The 17548-nt window shown below is 48.1% G+C and overlaps 1 protein-coding gene and 2 non-coding genes across 13 annotated transcripts in view; all 3 read right to left on the minus strand.

The window, feature by feature from the left end:
- The window catches only part of KDM5C (lysine demethylase 5C), a 48931-nt gene that overhangs the window by 15374 nt on the left and 16009 nt on the right, over positions 1 to 17548 (minus strand). For 5 of the 11 annotated variants that reach the window (NR_148674.2, NR_148673.2, NM_001353982.2 and 2 more), the window contains 13 exons: positions 10204 to 10323; positions 9900 to 10094; positions 7327 to 7508; positions 7114 to 7238; positions 6840 to 6987; positions 6121 to 6226; positions 5036 to 5394; positions 4266 to 4404; positions 3581 to 3760; positions 3281 to 3418; positions 2489 to 3088; positions 2132 to 2201; positions 1787 to 1986 (listed from right to left, as the gene is read on the minus strand). Coding sequence is in view for 8 of the 11 variants with exons in the window: in NM_001353982.2 (NP_001340911.1) it covers positions 1787 to 1986; positions 2132 to 2201; positions 2489 to 3088; positions 3281 to 3418; positions 3581 to 3760; positions 4266 to 4404; positions 5036 to 5394; positions 6121 to 6226; positions 6840 to 6987; positions 7114 to 7238; positions 7327 to 7508; positions 9900 to 10094; positions 10204 to 10323 (2562 nt within the window). In the remaining 3 variants the exon portion in view is untranslated. Of the gene's footprint in view, positions 1 to 507; positions 1683 to 1786; positions 1987 to 2122; positions 2202 to 2488; positions 3089 to 3280; positions 3419 to 3580; positions 3761 to 4265; positions 4405 to 5035; positions 5395 to 6120; positions 6227 to 6839; positions 6988 to 7113; positions 7239 to 7326; positions 7509 to 9899; positions 10095 to 10203; positions 10324 to 17548 lie in introns of those variants that run through there. The other 6 variants (NM_001282622.3, NM_004187.5, NR_148672.2 and 3 more) reach the window with 4 other exon arrangements.
- On the minus strand, positions 3761 to 3838 carry MIR6895 (microRNA 6895). Its single transcript, NR_106955.1, has one exon. It is a non-coding gene; the product is annotated as a microRNA 6895 (primary transcript).
- On the minus strand, positions 7239 to 7295 carry MIR6894 (microRNA 6894). Its single transcript, NR_106954.1, has one exon. It is a non-coding gene; the product is annotated as a microRNA 6894 (primary transcript).

Raw genomic sequence — 17548 nt, forward strand, 5'->3', positions numbered from 1 at the left:
GTAGATGGGTTAGACAGGAAAACATTCTAGGAAGAACGAGATTCTATGTATAATCTTAAGGGCAATAAAGCATCATGGAAGGTTTTAAGCAGTATATAATCAGATCTACACTTTAGAAACCCCCCAAATCACTGAATTGTACATTTCAAACAAGTGAATTTTATAGTATGTAAATTATATCTCAATAAAGCCATTAACAAAAAAATCCCTTTGGGAGCTTGAGGAGGATAAACTGGAGGGCATCAACTGGGGGAGGTTGTAGTGTAGGAGTTTGGGTGAGGGGGCCCGAGCCCATCTGTTTGGACTTGAGGGAAAGTGGCTTGGGGTTAGAGTCGGGGGAGGATCAGAATGTCTTGCCCAAGGTTAAGAAGCTGGTGGAACTTGATTTCAGAACCCAGAGCTCCCTGGCTTCAGCCCTAGTGCTCCTGCCAGCACTACAGCTGCTCCACTGACTGGTGATGGAAGCACTGTCTTCCCCGTCTAAGAGAAATGCACTTCAGAAACATGTTTCCAAAAAATGTTTCTAAGGGTTTTATTTCTAACAAGAGGAAAATAATAAAATAAAATTAAAATAGGCTTCAGTTGGAACCAAGTTTCTTGTTTTGCTTTTTTTTTTCTTTTGAACAAATTAATTACACACCAACAATCTTCTTTTATTACAACATGAACCCAGGAGGAGGAAAGGAGACAGGGGAGGACAGGGAGGGAGGACTGAGGTGGTTGTGAGGACAAGCACCAAAAGCTTTCTTCAGATCACAGGGAGCCCTGTTCAGCTCCCCAGCCAAATTCCTTTAAAATAAAAAACTGTGAGCACGGCTATGTGAAGTTTCCTCCTCCTGGGTGGAACAGTCAGGGGAAGGGAGAGGGAGAAGGGGGTAGGAAGGAAGGAAAAGAGGGGAGGAGAGTGGGGGCAGGGGTTAGTGTAGCATGGCCTGGCCAGGACCAGAACTGGGGAGAGAAGGGAGGAGAGTCCCCCAGTTTGCATATACACTGGCCTTGTCTCTGGAATGGTGATGGCCCAGCCCCAGCCACCCCCCTGCCCACCAGCCCATCCATCTATCTGCCTCAGGTGTCTGGGAATGCTGGTTAGAGGCTACCAGGGAGGGAAGACTCCAGGGGCCGGCCCCCAGGAGCTGAGGTCTGAACAATACCTTGGAGTCAGAATACAAAAGTCAAGGGACTCAGGGGTGGGCGGGTAGCAGGGATGGCCACCCCCCTACCCGCCCACCCCCCAAGAAGCAGGCTTGATGGTCAGAAAGAGGATCCTTGAGGCCGAGGGGGGTCTCTGTCAGGGTCTGTGCTAGGCTCAGCCACTGTCACAACTGTTGCTGAGGCGGCTGCTGTGGGCAGGGCAGATGCAGCCGGGGAGTCAGAGTGGAGAAAGGGGCCGAGGGGCCTGAAGTGGTCCCTTCCGCCGGTTCCAAGCCATTCTGGTTCTCCTGGGTGCTGGGGCTGCCAGTGGTGGGGATGGGTGCAGGGGGGCCCTCACCCCCAGTCTCCTCCTCCAGCTCTTCCTCCTCCTGGACCTCCTCAGCCTCTGGCCCTGAGCTCCGTACCCTCTTTGGCTCTAGCTCCTCTCGGGCTGGGTCATCGCCCTCCCCACCCCGATCCACCTTCCGCCGCCGCCGCCTCTCCAGGGCCCGGCCCCGAGCCCGACTCCCGTGACGCTCTGCCTTCTCCAGCTGTGATTACAGACAGGCAGAAAGACAGGTTGTGGGCCAGTGGTCAGGCCTGGGCTCCCTACTCGGCCTGACCTCCTGGCCCGGCCCATGACCCCTCTCCTCACCTCCAGAAGTGTGCGGATCCTCTCCAGGTCTGGGGGCTGTCCAGCCTGCAGCAGCTGCCATATGCTGTGGTTCTCATCCAGGGTCACCTCGAGCAGGTCCCCCTCCATCATGAGCTCCTCCAAGGGGGCCCGGGTTGCCTCAGGCAGTTCCAACACAGGGCCAGTCAACTGTGGCAACAGCGAGGACAGCAGCTCCAGATCTAGGAGGTTGCAGGAACAAGCGGCATTAGAGGCTGCCCTTGGTCTTATCCCCACCACTACAACAGAGCTGAGGACTACATGGGTCACTATGGTGATGTGCAGTCAACAGCCTACCCACACCACACCTAGACCTACCTCTCTTACCTGAGCCCTCCTCCGGGGCTACCTTCTCAGGACTGGTCACACTGTCTCCATTCTCCAGTAAGCCCTGGACCTGCGGAGGAGAGCAAGAATAGGTAGGGGCAACTGAAGTGAAGAACCAGGCCCTATTCCTCCTCCGCCAACCCCAAACTTGAGACCCTCCGCCTTCTGGAGGAGGAGGGAAGACACAGGCTGCCAGCAGGGAGCAGAGTCTAGGAATCTGGACAGATGCAGAATGGAGTAGGAAGGCTGGTCCAAAGAAAACTGAAAATTGGAGAACAAGGGGCAGGGCCGAGCCTAAACTGGGGTAGGGGCTAGGAGACAAGAATCTGAGGACAAGAGCTGGGCTGAGTAGCTCACCTTAGGCATATCCTTGCCACTGCCCTCTCTGAGGGGGTCAGAAGCAGGGGCTGCAGGGTAGTTAGGAGGCTCCTCAGGTCTAGGTTCAGCCTGTAGCCGTTGGCGGAGCTCAGCCAGCCGTCCCAAAAGAGCAGTCACATCTTCAGAGGCCAGAGCCTGCCTGGCGCGGCCTTGCCAGCTGATGGCCCTCTCTGTGAGGCACTGCAGGGCCTCGCCCTCGGGCAGCCGCACAGGCAGTCTCTGCAGGGCTACCAGCAGTGCCAGGATGGTCTCCAGGCGCGGGCGCCTTGAGCGCATACACAGTGGACACAGGAATTTGGTGTCCCATTCCCACCAGGCCAGCAGTGGGGATGAGGTGGGATTGGGCCTCGGAGAGCTGAGGAGGCGAGGCACTGACACACACCGCCCATGGAACCAGTCCTGACACAGGTCACACTGCAGAGCTCCCGCCCCAGCCAGCACCTGCCCACACACACAGATAGAGGTTGTAGAGGAGGCCGTGCTCGATGATGCCAGTGGACTGGGCTTGGCCGAATTGGTGCGACGCAGCTGCAGGATACCCTCCTTCTCCTTCTGTTCCCCCTCCTTGAAGGCCACGATCTGCCATACCCAGGACAGGAGCAAAGTGGGTCAGCAGCCTACCCCTTCCCTTCTCTGGGCCCCCCCTTAACACCCCCACTCCCAAACCAGGAGAACTGAGGCTCAGGGGACAAGCGGTCTGCTCATGGCCACCCAGCTCAGACACTCTATCATCACCAAGCCCTTCTCCCCATCTGTGTCGAAGCTCCTTACCACAGAGCCTGGGTCCCTGAGGTCCTGCGCAGACAGCCCCAGCAGCTCTGTGTCAGATTTGTACAACCCCAGCTCCTTCTCCATCCACCGGCTGCGCTTGGTGCTGTCTGAGCCGGCATCTGCACATGGGCAGAGAACCTGGGGCAGGCAGACAAGAGAGGGAATGACTGGGCTTCCCTTACATCCCCCGCCTCCTTCCCTCCCTGGTGCCCCTACAAAACCCATGTTATCTCATGAGCCATCTCACAGAAGCCAGGGCAGGCGTTAAGAGACGCTGTAGGTCAAGGTCCCAGGCCTCACCTCCAGCAGCGTGTAGCAAGAATTTTTCTTGAGGAAGGTCTTGGAGGCCTTCTCCCTCCAGGAGTGCGCTGTCAGTACCTGTAGCTCTAGCTGTCTCAGCTCCTCCAGCCCCACAGGTAGGTCCCGGCCCACAGCTACTAGGCCCTCCAAGTCATCCAGGCAGGGGTAGTGGTCACCATTCTAAGGCCAAGGGCGAGAGACAGCTCAGTTCAACTTGCCAATGCTATTGATGCTTACTCTGTGCCTGGCCCTGAGCTGGAAAGATGAACTGGGCTCAGTCTTGAGGGATTAAAAAAATAGGTGTCATCCTAAGGAACAACCACTTGGCTCTCTCCCACAACACCGGCATCTACTGACTGGCTCAGCCCCAAATATCTAGTCAGCCTTCTGTTGTGGTTTGCCTCTTCTCCTCTCCTCCATGCCCCTGCCCTGCTCAGTCCCATACCACCTGCTTCCCTGGCCCACCAATCTCATCCTAACCAGTGCCCTCTCTTCCTTCAGGCCAGCCTCACACTCTTCCTCTCACCCTGCTCATCAGGCACATCTTGCCTCCTGACTACATGCCATGCCCCCTTCCTCTCTCCAGCCAACCCAACCCATCCCAGCAACCCAGCACATCCCAGTGTATATGCCATCTCTTCCCAGCTGGACTGAAGGCCTGGGGTGGGAGTGGCAGGGTCCTCACTTGGATCTCATCAACATCAGCAATCCAGGCCCGGGCCTTAGCAAGAGCCTCCTTGAGAGCCTGGATGTTGGGCAGGTGAACAGGGATGTTTTCCGCTTCACGGATTATGGCCTCAAGTGTGGCTGGTGGATGCTTCTGCCTAAAGGTAAGGAAAAAAAGAACGCTCAGTCTGATGTGGTCTGCCTGACCAGAAGCCCAGCCTGACCACCAGATATATCTGCATGGGCCCCTTGGGTGTCTGTTATTCCTGCTGTCACTTGGGCCTACTTGCTTGTATTCCACCTAAGGGTAGCTGCCAGTCCCTGCTTCCCCAAGACTGCATGCACCCAACTTCATCCCTTCTGCCACAGCTCTTGCACCTCTGTTTGTCTGCCAGTCTGCTGGCCTGCTAGCAATGCCTACATATACAACCTGTATTGTGTAATCTGTTGCTGCAGTTTGTCAACTGCCCTGTGTGGGGTCTTTCTACCAACATCTGCCCATCTGCCTGTCACTTGTGCTTCTGGGTATGCGCACATTAGCCTGTAGGGCTAGTCTTCTAGATAATCTCTATCTGTCCATTTCTGCTTCTCCATCAGCCTCTCTTTGCCTTTAAGTATACAGAGTTGTTTTTTAAAAAAACGACAAGATAGACAACAAAAGAGGGGAGAGTCAATACAGTAACACAGGAGCGTGATACCTAAGGCCACCCATGGGCATCCTCTTCTGGGTCTCCACTCAACTTTGATGTTTGGAATAGGGCAGGGAAGGGAAGCAGCAGCTGGACCTACCTGGCCTCCAGGCAGAGGTGGGCTTTCTCCTCCCAGCGTTCAGCAATGGTCAGCAGTTCCTGCAGCTCGGCCTGGGCTTTATCCACAGCAGGGCTAGGGGCTACACTGGCACCCGCGACCAACAGTCCTCGCATGACAGCCAAGGTGCCCCTTCGGGCTGAGGGGGCCAGTGTGCGTTTCACCTCATCCAGCCATCGCGCCTGTTCCACCTGCCGCTGGAGCTGCTGGGCCTCAGGCACCTCCACCCCCAGCTGCCGCCCCCTCTCCAACAGGGACTGCAGTAGCCCTGGACTGGAGGGCAGTGAGGCCAGGGCCTCACGAGCCTCAGCCTGGTAGGCCTCCACCTGTTCCAGAACACCCTACCAGGACACAGGATGAAGAACAAACTCCTCAGCTGGGCCCACTGAGGGGTTCCACCACCAGATGGAACCTTGTCCCACCTATCTTCTTACCCTCCAAGCTTTTGGGGCAAAGGAGCCTAACATGGGCTGAGCTCTCCTTCTCCAAGCCCTAAGACAGTTGGGGTTCCTAACACTGACTGCTCATTAGAATGCCCTGGGGAATTTAAGAATGCAGATTCCTGGGCCCCACCCTGAGAGATTCTTAATTAACTAATAATTATTAATCTATGCTTTATTTAACTTTTCAGAGGGCTCTGTTCTCAGGGCACCAAGAGACCTCCCTGCCCTAAAAATTGCTATGATTAGTCCTCACATAAACCCTTGTGCTCACCACCCTGGGGTCTGTTGCCCTCTCCATCTCACTCCTCCTCCACCTTCATGAATTTCCCTCCACTTTCCAAGCCCAACAAGCACCCCTGTTACCTCCTTCTCCTCTACCCCTCCTCCAGGAAACCTTACCTGGACTCTGTATCCTATACCCATACCCTTGCCACCTGACCCTCAAGGCCCATTTCTAACAGACAAGTCACTAGACCCTTGCCTCACCCCTCCCACCTGTTCTTTTCTCACACGTGTGTCCTGTCTTGCCTGAACACTTTAAGCTTTTGAAAGGAGCCAAGCATGGCCTGCTGCTCAGGTCCCCTGGTCCCCTTGATCCCTCATCAGCACTCCAAGCGTCCTCACCTTGACATCCCCAATCTGGTGCATGGCGCAAGGCAGGTTGTTCATCTGGTCCAGAAAGGCCCGGAGCTCAGTCAGGGTCATCTGTAGACCAGCCACCCTGTGGGGGCTATGAAGTATCACATGTGAGGTTTCAGGTCCAAACTCAGTGCCTTCCCTCCATGTCTATGCTAAGACTGAACACCTTTCCTCACTACACCTGTCCACCTTGATCTCGCATATTTCAAATTTGCCCCAATTGCCCAGGTTAGAGGGAAGGTTTTAAATTATAGAGCATGTTCATATTATGAGGGGAAAGAATTAGAAACTAATGGGTTGTAATAAGAGCTACACTTTGCAATCCATCCTCTACTGTGAACTCTAAAGCTGTGTTAGCAGGGATCAGGTCTATACATCTTTGTCCTGTTCTTACCCGTAAGCCTCCCACAACTCTTCCCTGCCCACAAAACCCCTCAGCCTCTCTCTCAGGCCACTTCCAGGTACTGATAAAAAATAAACACTTCTAGCTTTCTTATCACAGAGGCTCTCCTCTCCTTTTTAGGTGGCCTGGTCTCCTTGTCCCCCCCAACACCTTCCAGGCCATCTCACACTCTTGTGCCTGGCAGCTTCCTGCTGATGTCCATTCTGCCAAATGGTATTCACAGTCTACCCCTTGCAGCACTTTTCCTCGGTGCTGGATCCTCAGCACCTTATGTGTGCCCTAACTCCTCACGCTGTCATACCCAGCTTCCTGGCCGCTGACCAGTCCCAGAGCTCGGGACACGCAAGCCTCTGCCTCACTCAGGCAGTTCTTTAGTTGCTGCAGCAGCTCACTATTAGGAAACCTCCGCTCACGGGCTTCAGACTCTAGTGCCCTCAGTTCTTCAAGGCCTGGAAGAAAAATGAGGGCAGCAAAGAGTAGGCAGTATTGAATAGAGGCAGAGGAAGGGGGTCAGAGTACAGAAGAAAGGGAATAGAACTTGCCTGTGGAGTCCCTCCATCCCCCCCATCACTCACTGCGCTTCCGCCCATCCTCCACCTCCAGGGCCACTCGCACTTTGTTGGCCCAGGTGTCAAAGGACTCAGCCCGAACCTTCAGCTTATGCAGCATGGCAGGAAGCTCATCCAAGGTATACCGATACCTGGAGGAAGAGGGCAGGCAAGAGCATGTCTGGCCCAGCTCTCCATCCTCCTTCTTGCCCCACTTCCTCCAGAAAGGCCCATGCTCACCGCAGGTACTGCCGGCTACTGGAGCACTTGCAGAGATCATTGATGTGGGAAAGGCAGACAAGGCCGTCTGGGCAGTCGTAGCAGGCCAGGGCTGACAGGAAACACGTAGTCTTGCACTTGATACACTGGCGCTCATCATCTGGGAGCAGCTCGAAAGCCTCTCGCTCAGCCTCTGTGATACCCTAAGGGCATTTAACCTATGCGTTATATATAACCAGAACCAGGTAGCAAAATCCTCCATCTCAGCCACCACCGACCCCTACTTTAGATTCAAATCTATGCTGAGGGTCATGGGGTTTAAGAGGCCAAACCCCAGGGAGCATACCTGCCCTTTGTAAAGTCTAGACTCTCAAAGCTTGGGGAATCAGATAAACCAGGGCAAGATCAGTGTGCGCTGAGTCAGATAATTTTATAGAGGAAGAAAAATCAGGTAAGATCCAGATCAGCAGAAAGGGTCTTGTGGGTGAGAAGTGAGGAAAGTGGTGGACCAAGATACCAGAGAGGTGGCAATGAGTGCAAGTGGCCAAGGGACAGGCCTGGCTAGTTATGTGTACTGGGGAACAATATCGGCTTCCAGTTACTCAGAGCCCACTGTGTTCCAGGCACCACGCTGGCCACTTAGTAGGCAGGAGATACTTGTGCACATATATAACTTAGAGAAATTCAACCGTATGTGCTTGTGTTCAGGGTTTAAAGAGATATAATAATTTTCTCCCAACAATATGGTTTCCAAACCTAATCCAATGACTTCATCTGTTGCTCAGATAAAGAAAAAGCAATCCATTTCAAAAATGAAGGAAAAGCTGGCTATATTGGAGTAATCGAGAGACAACCCAGTGTGTATATCTAATGGGCAATTTTAGGGATTTTAATGGGAAATGTCAACTCTTAACAGTTTTTGTCTTACATACCAACTTTAACACCTAATCTCTGCATAAGTTATGAGCCCAAATCCCACTCTGCCACTTATATGCTGTGTGATCATGAGTAAATCATTTAACGTCTCTGGGTCTGTTTCATTATCTAGTAAGATGGAGATAAACAGTATCATCCTTGTTGGGTTGTTATGAGGATTAACAAAAATAAAGCAGCTATGGAATCAGACAAGTATCTCAGCACTTAGATTCAGTGTTCATCAAATATTTACTGTTATTAGCTCTAATTTTCAGATAAGAATATATATTCCACAGGCCTATCTCATTTTACTAAGGCAGAAACTAAGTCTCAGGGTCAGTAACTTGCCAAACTGAGTTAATTTTGACTCTAAAGCCAGAGAATATTCTAAGGATGAAGTCTCTAGGGTTTTTTTGGACTACAGACTCCTGAGAATTGGATGTAAACTATAAGTCCTCTTCCCAGAAACATACTTAAATACACATACAATCTCTTACAGGATTCCAAGACTATGGTGTCCAGAATGCTTCTCTGAGGTAAGGGCCAAGTGTGAAGAATTCTGAATGTCAAGATGAGAAGGTCTATTCTCCCCACCTTGCTTTGGCTCCTTCCCACAGCTTGGCACAGCCACACGGCCATCATTTAATAACAGTACTGAACAGAGTGAGAAAATGATGCCTGGAAAAGCCCAGGGACTCAACAACTTACACCACGACTGAGAGGCCCCAGACTTCCAACACTACTGTAGCTATAGTTCTCCCTATAGCCCACACTCACAGGAAAGCTATAAATGAGCTTTAAAATAAGAAAGTATTACCCTAGATAGGCAGCAAGGGATCCCACAGAACCAGCACTCCTTTGTAATCTTATGAAAGACTCTCACAAAGTCAATTCCCTAACTGGGCAAGTGTGAAATTTGAAGATGATGGCTGAAACTACACGAGTGGACTTTAGAGCTCTGTAGCAGCTTCCACTCAGCTACACACACAACTGACACAAGCTTACAAGAAATCAATTAAAGCAGGACCACCTTCAGCTTGGTAATATTATTGCCCTAGCTGGAGTTAATAAACCATCTGCATGTAATAAAATGGCAATTCCTGAGAAACATTCCAAATTTCAATCAGTTTCTTCATGTATTAACATTACCAATAATAGCAGCTGCAACATTGCAAAGGCAATGTTAGAGAGATGGCTTTCATATAAATCACCTTACTCTAACCTTACATCTTGCAAGTTAGGTATTTATTCCCACTTTAGAGTAGGAAAGTGAGATATGAAAGATCAAGTAACTTGATACAGTCACCTAGATAATCAGCAGTGAGGTTTCATATGCCAGTCTATTTTGCTAGGTCATGTAAATAATGATAAATAGCTGCTATACCAGTACCTGCCATGGGTCAGTCACTAAGCAAACATTATCTTTAATACAATCAACTATCCAAAAAGATAAGCATTATCATAATCCCATTTTTCAGAGGGGAAAACTGACAATGAAGTAAATCGACTTAAGGTTGCTGGTAAAGGGTATAGCAGAGAATGGTATGTGGTTTTCAATCGAGATGCATCTAGTTCTTTTCACTATACGCCAAGAGTAGAGGCTACATCTTCTTGGTGCTGCCTCTGCCTCCCCGAACTTCCACCAGAATAGGGTGCTTGATCTGGGGTACTCTCCCCACCTTCTCCAGCAGGGCCTTTCGTAGACGCCGCTCTTCTTGCACCATGATGAACATCTCCTTATGCACAGCTGCCGCCAGGTTCAGGTCTAGCTTCTCTGGGCAGGCAGCCATCTTGCAGATAAGCTCCTCATGGGAGAAGACGCAGTATCTCCGGAGCCGGCGGTAGTGCTCAATGCACTGGCGCCCAGCAGGCAACTGTGGGCAGGTTCAAGGTTGAGTGTGGCCAAGTCTGGAGGCCATGATGCCCCAGCTTCTCTACAACCCTCCTGCTTCTCCCCACCATCCCACCACATTCTAGACTCACCCAGTCAGCAGTGCAAAAGTTGACAGCCTCGGCAAAGTTGTAGCCTTGGTTGAAGCCGCTGTGGTAAGCACGGGGGAAGGTGATGACAAACTCTCCTGCACACTGGTTTGTGCGGACAACCTGAAGAACACAAAAGGCCATGGCTGTTGAGATAGAGATTTTCCTGTATACAGACCTGACTTAAGTGCAAGGTAATTAAGGAGACAAAGAAAAGCCTCAGGGAACACAGTCTGACAACAGAATCCCAGACTCTCCAACTCTGAAAGGAAGGACCACTGGTCTCTGCTCTCAAGGTTTTGATGTGTGTTGAGATGATAGGAAGATTTGAGATTAAAAAATATATCTGTCAAAATATTCCAACTTCCTTAGTAATTTTTGCAAAAATTATAAATATCACTTTTAATCAAGCTGGACAAGCTTTTTTAGTTATTTACTTTCATCAGTTATATATGCAGTTTGTAGAGTCAAATGGCTCTATAAAGATCTGTTATAAAATCAGCCAGCCTTGCCATTCTCCCTTCCCCACAGCCAATCACTTCCACCTCTTCTGATTATTTTGGCGTTGATTATAACTACCTTAAATAACATGCTTCTAGACTATGTTAAAAACAGCCTCCTGTTTCTCAATTTGCTCAGTTTTTTATGCATATATCCCTAATTTTCTGACCAATATTTAAATCTCTTTTCCTATCAATTTTCATCTTTCTGTAGCAGTCTCATGCAACCTTCTGATCTGTCCCAATCTGGACCAGCTGTCCTCCCTGGATCATCACTCTCTTGTGACAGATCTCCTATTTCCTAGATCCCACGTCTTCCTCTTTCTTGGTTTATTCCTTTGCTATGCTTAAGAACATCCTCCAACAGTTTCCTGAGAAATGGTGTGAAGAACCTACTTTTCTTTTTTTAAAGAAAGTCTCTATTCTTACTCTCACACTTGACTGTATATAGAATTCTAAGATGAAAATCCTTTTTTTTTTTTTTTGAGACGGAGTCTCGCTCTGCCGCCCAGGCTGGAGTGCAGTGGCACGATCTCGGCTCACTGCAAGGTCCGCCTCCCGGGTTCACGCCATTCTCCTGCCTCAGCCTCTCCGAATAGCTGGGACTACAGACGCCTGCCACCACGCCCGGCTAATTTTTTGTATTTTTAGTAGAGATGGGGTTTCACCGTGGTCTCGATCTCCTGACCTCGTGATCCGCCCGCCTCGGCCTCCCAAAGTGCTGGGATTACAAGTGTGAGCCACCGCGCCCGGCAAAAATCCTTTTTTTAAAAACTCCCATAGTTGTTGACTCAGAAAATAATTTTAAAGGCACACTGCTCTGATCTTCTAGTGTTACTGTTGAAAAGTTCGAAGCCATTCTGATTTCTAATGCTTGATAAGCATTTGAAACCTGTTTCTCTCTCTCTCGAGCTTATAGGATTCTTCTGGTCTCAGTGTTTGACATGGAAATTTACAGGATATATCTTGGTATGAATTTCTTTTCACTCATGTACTGGGTAGGCCCATTGACTCTGGAAAATCGGTTCTCCAGTTCAGGGAAATTTTCTTGAGTGATTTCATTAATGATTTCATCCTCTCAGTTTTCATCTATTTTCTTTTCATAACTCCTATTTGAATATTGAACCTCCTAGAAAAATTCCCTAATTTTTTCTACCCTTTTCCATCTTTTTACTCTACTTTTTGGGAGATTTCCTCAACTATTCATCTTTCAAAAGTGGAAAACATACACTTTTTACATTTTTCACTTTTGCTATCATAACTTTGTTTGCGGTATGCTATTTTTTTAAACAGTATTCTGGTCTTCATTCATTTTTACAGTATATGCCTTTCTTTTGAAGTTTATTTCTCCCTGCCTAGCCTCTGTATCTCCAAGTTGCTTCTGTTTTTTGGGGGATTTTTTAGGGTTTCCTCAGTTTTTTGTTTTTTTTTTTTGACGCAGAGTCTCACTTTGTCGCCCAGGCTACAGTGCCGTGGTGCAATTTCGGCTCACTGCAACCTCGGCCTCCCGGGTTCAAGTGATTCTCCTGCCTCAGCCTTCCAAGCAGCTGGGATTACAGGCACACGCCACTATGCCGTATTTTTAGTAGAGACGGGGTTTTGTCATGTTGGCCAGGCTGGTCTCAAACTCCTGACCTCAGGTGATCCACCCACCTTGGCTGGGATTACAGGCGTGAGCCACTGCACCGCACTGGCCTCTCAGTTGTTAATCTGTGGCTGCCTGCTTATATTTAAGAGGAAGAGATTAAAAAGCTAAATGGAAGCTCTGAGTACACAGATGAAGCTTGTCAACTGTGAGCTTCACTGTAGGGTGATCTAGCTAAGCCATTTAGTTTGGGAAACTCCAGGTCTTTCCTTGCAGGCCAGTCAGATTCCCCAAAGAAAATCCTTTTTTTTTTTTTTTTTTTTTTTTTGCCTGTAGGAAAAAAGGCCTGGCAGCCAGTGTTCTAACAGCCAAGTGGAGAATGATGGCTGGGAACCTCAGCATCCAGTATGATAAATCCTAATTACATTCCCTATAACTCCACCTTCAATTGTACCTAGGAGACCTTAAACCAGAGACTCTGTTTTAACCTCTTCAGAAATAAATCTTCAGTCTTTTACTAGAGTGACTAGACATTTCTAGCTGCCCAGCATGGGAGGGTATCTCACAGCTTTTTTTTTTGAGACGGTGTCTCGCTCTGTCGCCCAGGCTGGAGTGCAGTGGTGTGATCTCGGCTCATTGTAAGCTCCGCCTCACGGGTTCATGCCATTCTCCTGCCTCAGCCTCCCGAGTAGCTGGGACTACAGGCATCCGCCACCATGCCCGGCTAATTTTTTGTATTTTTGTTAGAGACGGGGTTTCACTGTGTTAGCCAGGATGGTCTCAATCTCCTGACCTCATGATCCACCCGCCTCGGCCTCCCAAAGTGCTGGGATTACAGGCGTGAGCCACTGCACCCGGCCCTCACAGCTTCTTATACAGACATGAACCAATCCTTATTTTCACCCCATCCATCTTTACCCCTAGAATGCCTGGTGCCACTGATAACAAATCTTTGGGGGATTCTGAGGTATGAATCGGGCTGGTTCTCAAGATGTCCTCAGTAGTGGCTTATGTTTCAGTTTTCTCATCTATCTGTTTTCTAGTTTCAAGAATTTTATCATTGTCTCCTCTCTCGTATTCTCCATCTCTGTAATTTTTTTCACGTTAAAAAATCCCTTTATGTAATTTTTGTGGAGTTTCAGTACAGAATGGAAGTAGCCATGTGTATGCTTAATCTGTCATCTTTACTGAGAAGTCTCACAAAGCTTTTTAAGATAAACATTCAATTTTGGTGAAGACACAGTGAAGTAGGTACAGTGCCGGTAAGGGAATAAATACATTCTACTCTCTGGAAAACAAATTTGCTAATGTATATCAAGAACCCTTCAACCCAATGATTCCTCTGCCAGGAGTCTAAATTAATTTGGGGAGAATTAACATCCTAACAATATCAAATCTTCCCATTCATAAACATATCTCCACATTTATTTGGACCATGCATCAGCTCCCACCTCCGTCATATTTTCTTCTCAAATCTATCTCTACTTAGAGGCAACATCAGCATTTCTTTCTTACCTGTATTACTGCACTGGCCTCAATTACTAACTGCCAGAACTATCTTCCAAAAATAGCAAATTTGACCATGTAATGCCTCAGCTGAGAGCCTCTCACTGGAATCCCCATGCCCACATGATTAAGCCACAGCTCTGACAGGTAAACTCTTACTCTTCTTTCAGGGATCACTGCTCCTACAAAACCTTTCCTGATAACCCCCGCTTCCTAAATGACCTAGTTTGTTGCTCTTTTGCAGCACCTTTAATGCTTTATTCCACTTATTTACTCCTCTGTCCAGCACTCAGCTATGCATACACAAACGCAGGCACTGGGTTATTTGCCTTCTGAGTGTTGACCAGAGAGGCCTTGCACAAAGAATGAGCTCTAGCAACATTCACTGAATGATCTAGTCCCAGGCTTAGTTTTATTTATTATTAATTAATTAGAAGGGGTCTTACTATGCCAGCCTTAATTTTATCGACAAGAAAACTAAGTCTCAGATAAGCCTCAGGTAGCAGAGCCAGGAGTAGAACTTGATGCTCATAACTCTGTCTCACCCTGCACCCTGATGCTGGCAATGTCACTTTACTATTTCCTATGTGGTTATTTAGAAAAGTTCTCCTCACATTCTGCAGCTGTTAAAAATGACAACTGTGAATAGCCAAAAAGTAAAAACAACTCAAAAGGTTCATCAACTGGTGTATATTACTGGGCCATCAAAGGAATAAAGTTCTGATACATGCTGCAATGTGGATGAACCCCAAAAACATGCTAAGTGAGAGAAGAAACAAATGACCACATATTATTCCATTTTTATGAACTGTCCAGAAAAGACAAATCTATAGACAGAAAACAGATGAATGGTTGACTGGGACTAGGGGCTGGAAAGGGGAGTGACCGTAAATGGGTATAAGGGATCTTTTTGGGGTGGTAGAAATGTTCTACAACTGGATTGTAGAGATGGTAGCACAACTCCATAAATTTACTGGATTGTGTACTTAAAATGGGTGAATTTTACGGTATGTAGCAAATCATACCGCAATAAAACTTTAAAAAATGGTTATAATTCATATAGTAACAAAGCGAAAATCATTCTAGACCAGTGCTGTCCAAGAGAAATATGCTAGGTACATAGGTACTTTTAAATTCTTTTGCTGGGCACGGTGTCTCACGCTTATAATCTCAGCAGTTTGAGAGACCGAGGCGGGCAGATCACTTGAAGTCAGGAGTTCAAGATCAGCCTGGCCAACATGGTACAACCCCGTCTCTACTAAAAATACAAAAATTAGCTGGATGTGGTGGCGCACGCCTGTAATCTCAGCTACTCGGGAGGCTAAGGCGGAAGAATCGCTTGAACCCAGGAGATGGAGGTTGCAGTGAGCCGAGATCGCACCACTGCACTCCACCCAGGGCAACAGAGCAAGATTCCTTCTCAAAAAAAAAAAAAAAAAAAAAAAAAAAAAAATCAAGCACAGTGGCTCATGCCTGTAATCCCAGCACTTTGGGAGGCCGAGGCAGGAGGATCACCTGAGGTCAGGAGTTCGAGACCAGCCTGGCCAACATGGTGAAACCCCATCTCTACTAAAAATACACAAAAATTAGCCAGGCACAGTGGCTCATGCCTGTAGTCCTAGCTACTTGGGAGGCTGAGACAGGAGAATCGCTTGAACCCGGGAGGCGGAGGTTGCAGTGAGCTGAGATCACGTCACTGCACTCCAGCCTGGGCAACAAGAGTGAGACTCCTTCTCCAAAAAAAAAAAAAAAAAAAAAAATCTTTAGTAGCCACATTAAAAAGGCAAAAAGAAACAGGTAAAATTAAGTTAAATATATTTTATTTAACTTAACATATCCACAATATTACCATTTCTATGTGTAATTGGCACACAAAAGTATTAAGTGAGATACTTTGCATTCTTTTGTTTCGTACTAAGTCTTGAAAGCCAACATGCATTTTATACTTTTGGCACATTTCAGTGAGGACTAGCTACATTTCAAGTGCTCAACAGCCACATGTAGCTAGTGGCTACCAAATTGGACAGTGCAGTTCTAGACCAATAAACTTACCAAATTGATTATAAAAACCATACACTAATTATTGCTATGTCAAATTTTACATAGAAAAATATAACAGATGGAAACATAACAATGCTTAGATGTTTACAGTGGAGAGAATAGGGGCGAACTTTCTGTTTTCCATCTTCTGGAAAGAGGACATGTTTATTTTATAATGAAAATAGGCCCGGGCGCGGTGGCTCACGCCTGTAATCCTAGCACTTTGGGAGGCCAAGGCGGGTGGATCACCTGAGGTCAGGAGTTCGAGACCATCCTGGCCAACATGGTGAAACCCCGTCTCTACTAAAAATACAAAAATTAGCTGGGCGTGGTGGCGGGCAACTGTAATCCCACCTACTCGGGAGGCTGAGGCCGGGTAATCACTTGAACTCGGGAGGAGGAGGTTGCAGTGAGCTGAGATCGTGAGCCGAGATCGTGCCACTGCACTCCAGCCTCCAGCCTGGGTGACAGAGCGAGACTCTGTCTCAAAAAAAAAAAAAAAAAAAAAAGAAAAGAAAATAATACTTACATTACATATCTATAAAAAGAAATGGCCTTCTCCCACCAAAGGGGAAGGTGGGGTGATGGGGGCAGGGAGCTAGATACCTCTGGGGGAGCTCCAGCTGGCTAAACTGCAGTCTCCCAGCATGAGAACATAAAAATCACAGATACTTGAATTAAGGGGATACTGCCAAGTCCAAAGGGCCTGGAGATGCTGTGAACTACCTATAGGAAGGGCAGGGCAGACAGAGGGCTGGGTGGTAAAGTAGCAGCTGGCCAGAGAAGATGATGAGCCACGAGCAGGAGAAATGCTGTGGAGGTGTAAGCAAAAAGCACGTATTTTGGATTCTGTGATAAAGTTTTTTAAAAAGCGGTAAGGACTAAACAGCTCCATGACCTTCTGCATATGTATATATACATATATATACACATACATATATATATATATATATATATATATACACACACACATATATATATATATGCCTCTTAGCTACCCAAATCCTTCAGAGAATCCTTTTTTTTTTTTTTTTTTTTTTGAAATGGAGTCTCTCCACCTGTTGCCCAGGCTGGAATGCAATGGCACGATCTCGGCTCACTGCAACCTCCGCCTCCTGGGTTCAAGTGATTCTCCCGCCTCAGCCTCCCCAGTAGCTGGGACTACAGGCACGTGCCACCACGCCCGGCTAATTCTGTATTTTTATTAGAGACGAGGTTTCACCATGTTGGCCAGGCTGGTCTCGAACTCCTGACCTCAGGTGATCCGGCCGCCTCAGCCTCCCAAAGTGCTGGGATTACAGGCATGAGCCACCACACCCGGCTCTTTTTTTTTTTTTTTTTTTTTTTTTTTTGAGACAGGGTCTCACTATGTTGCCCAGGCTGGAGTGCAGTGGTACAATCTCGGCTCACTGCAACCTCTGCCTCCCGGGTTCAAGCGATTCTCCTGCCTCCTGATCCTGAGTAGCTGGGATTACAGGCGTGCGCCACCATACCTGGCTAATTTTTGTATTTTTAGTAGAGACTGGGGTTTCACCGTGTCGGCCAAGCTGGTTTTGAACTCCTGACCTCAAGTGATCTGACTGCCTTGGCCTCCCAAAGTGCTGGGATTACAGGCGTGAGCCACCGTGCCTGGCCAAGAGAATCCTCTTTTACAGTTTTCCATGGCATTATAGACAAGGACTGATGCTGTGCTATGGGTCAGGAAGAGAGAAGTCTA

The sequence above is a fragment of the Homo sapiens genome, chromosome X, assembly GCF_000001405.40.
Source record: "Homo sapiens chromosome X, GRCh38.p14 Primary Assembly".
In the NCBI taxonomy this organism is placed as follows: domain Eukaryota; kingdom Metazoa; phylum Chordata; class Mammalia; order Primates; family Hominidae; genus Homo; species Homo sapiens.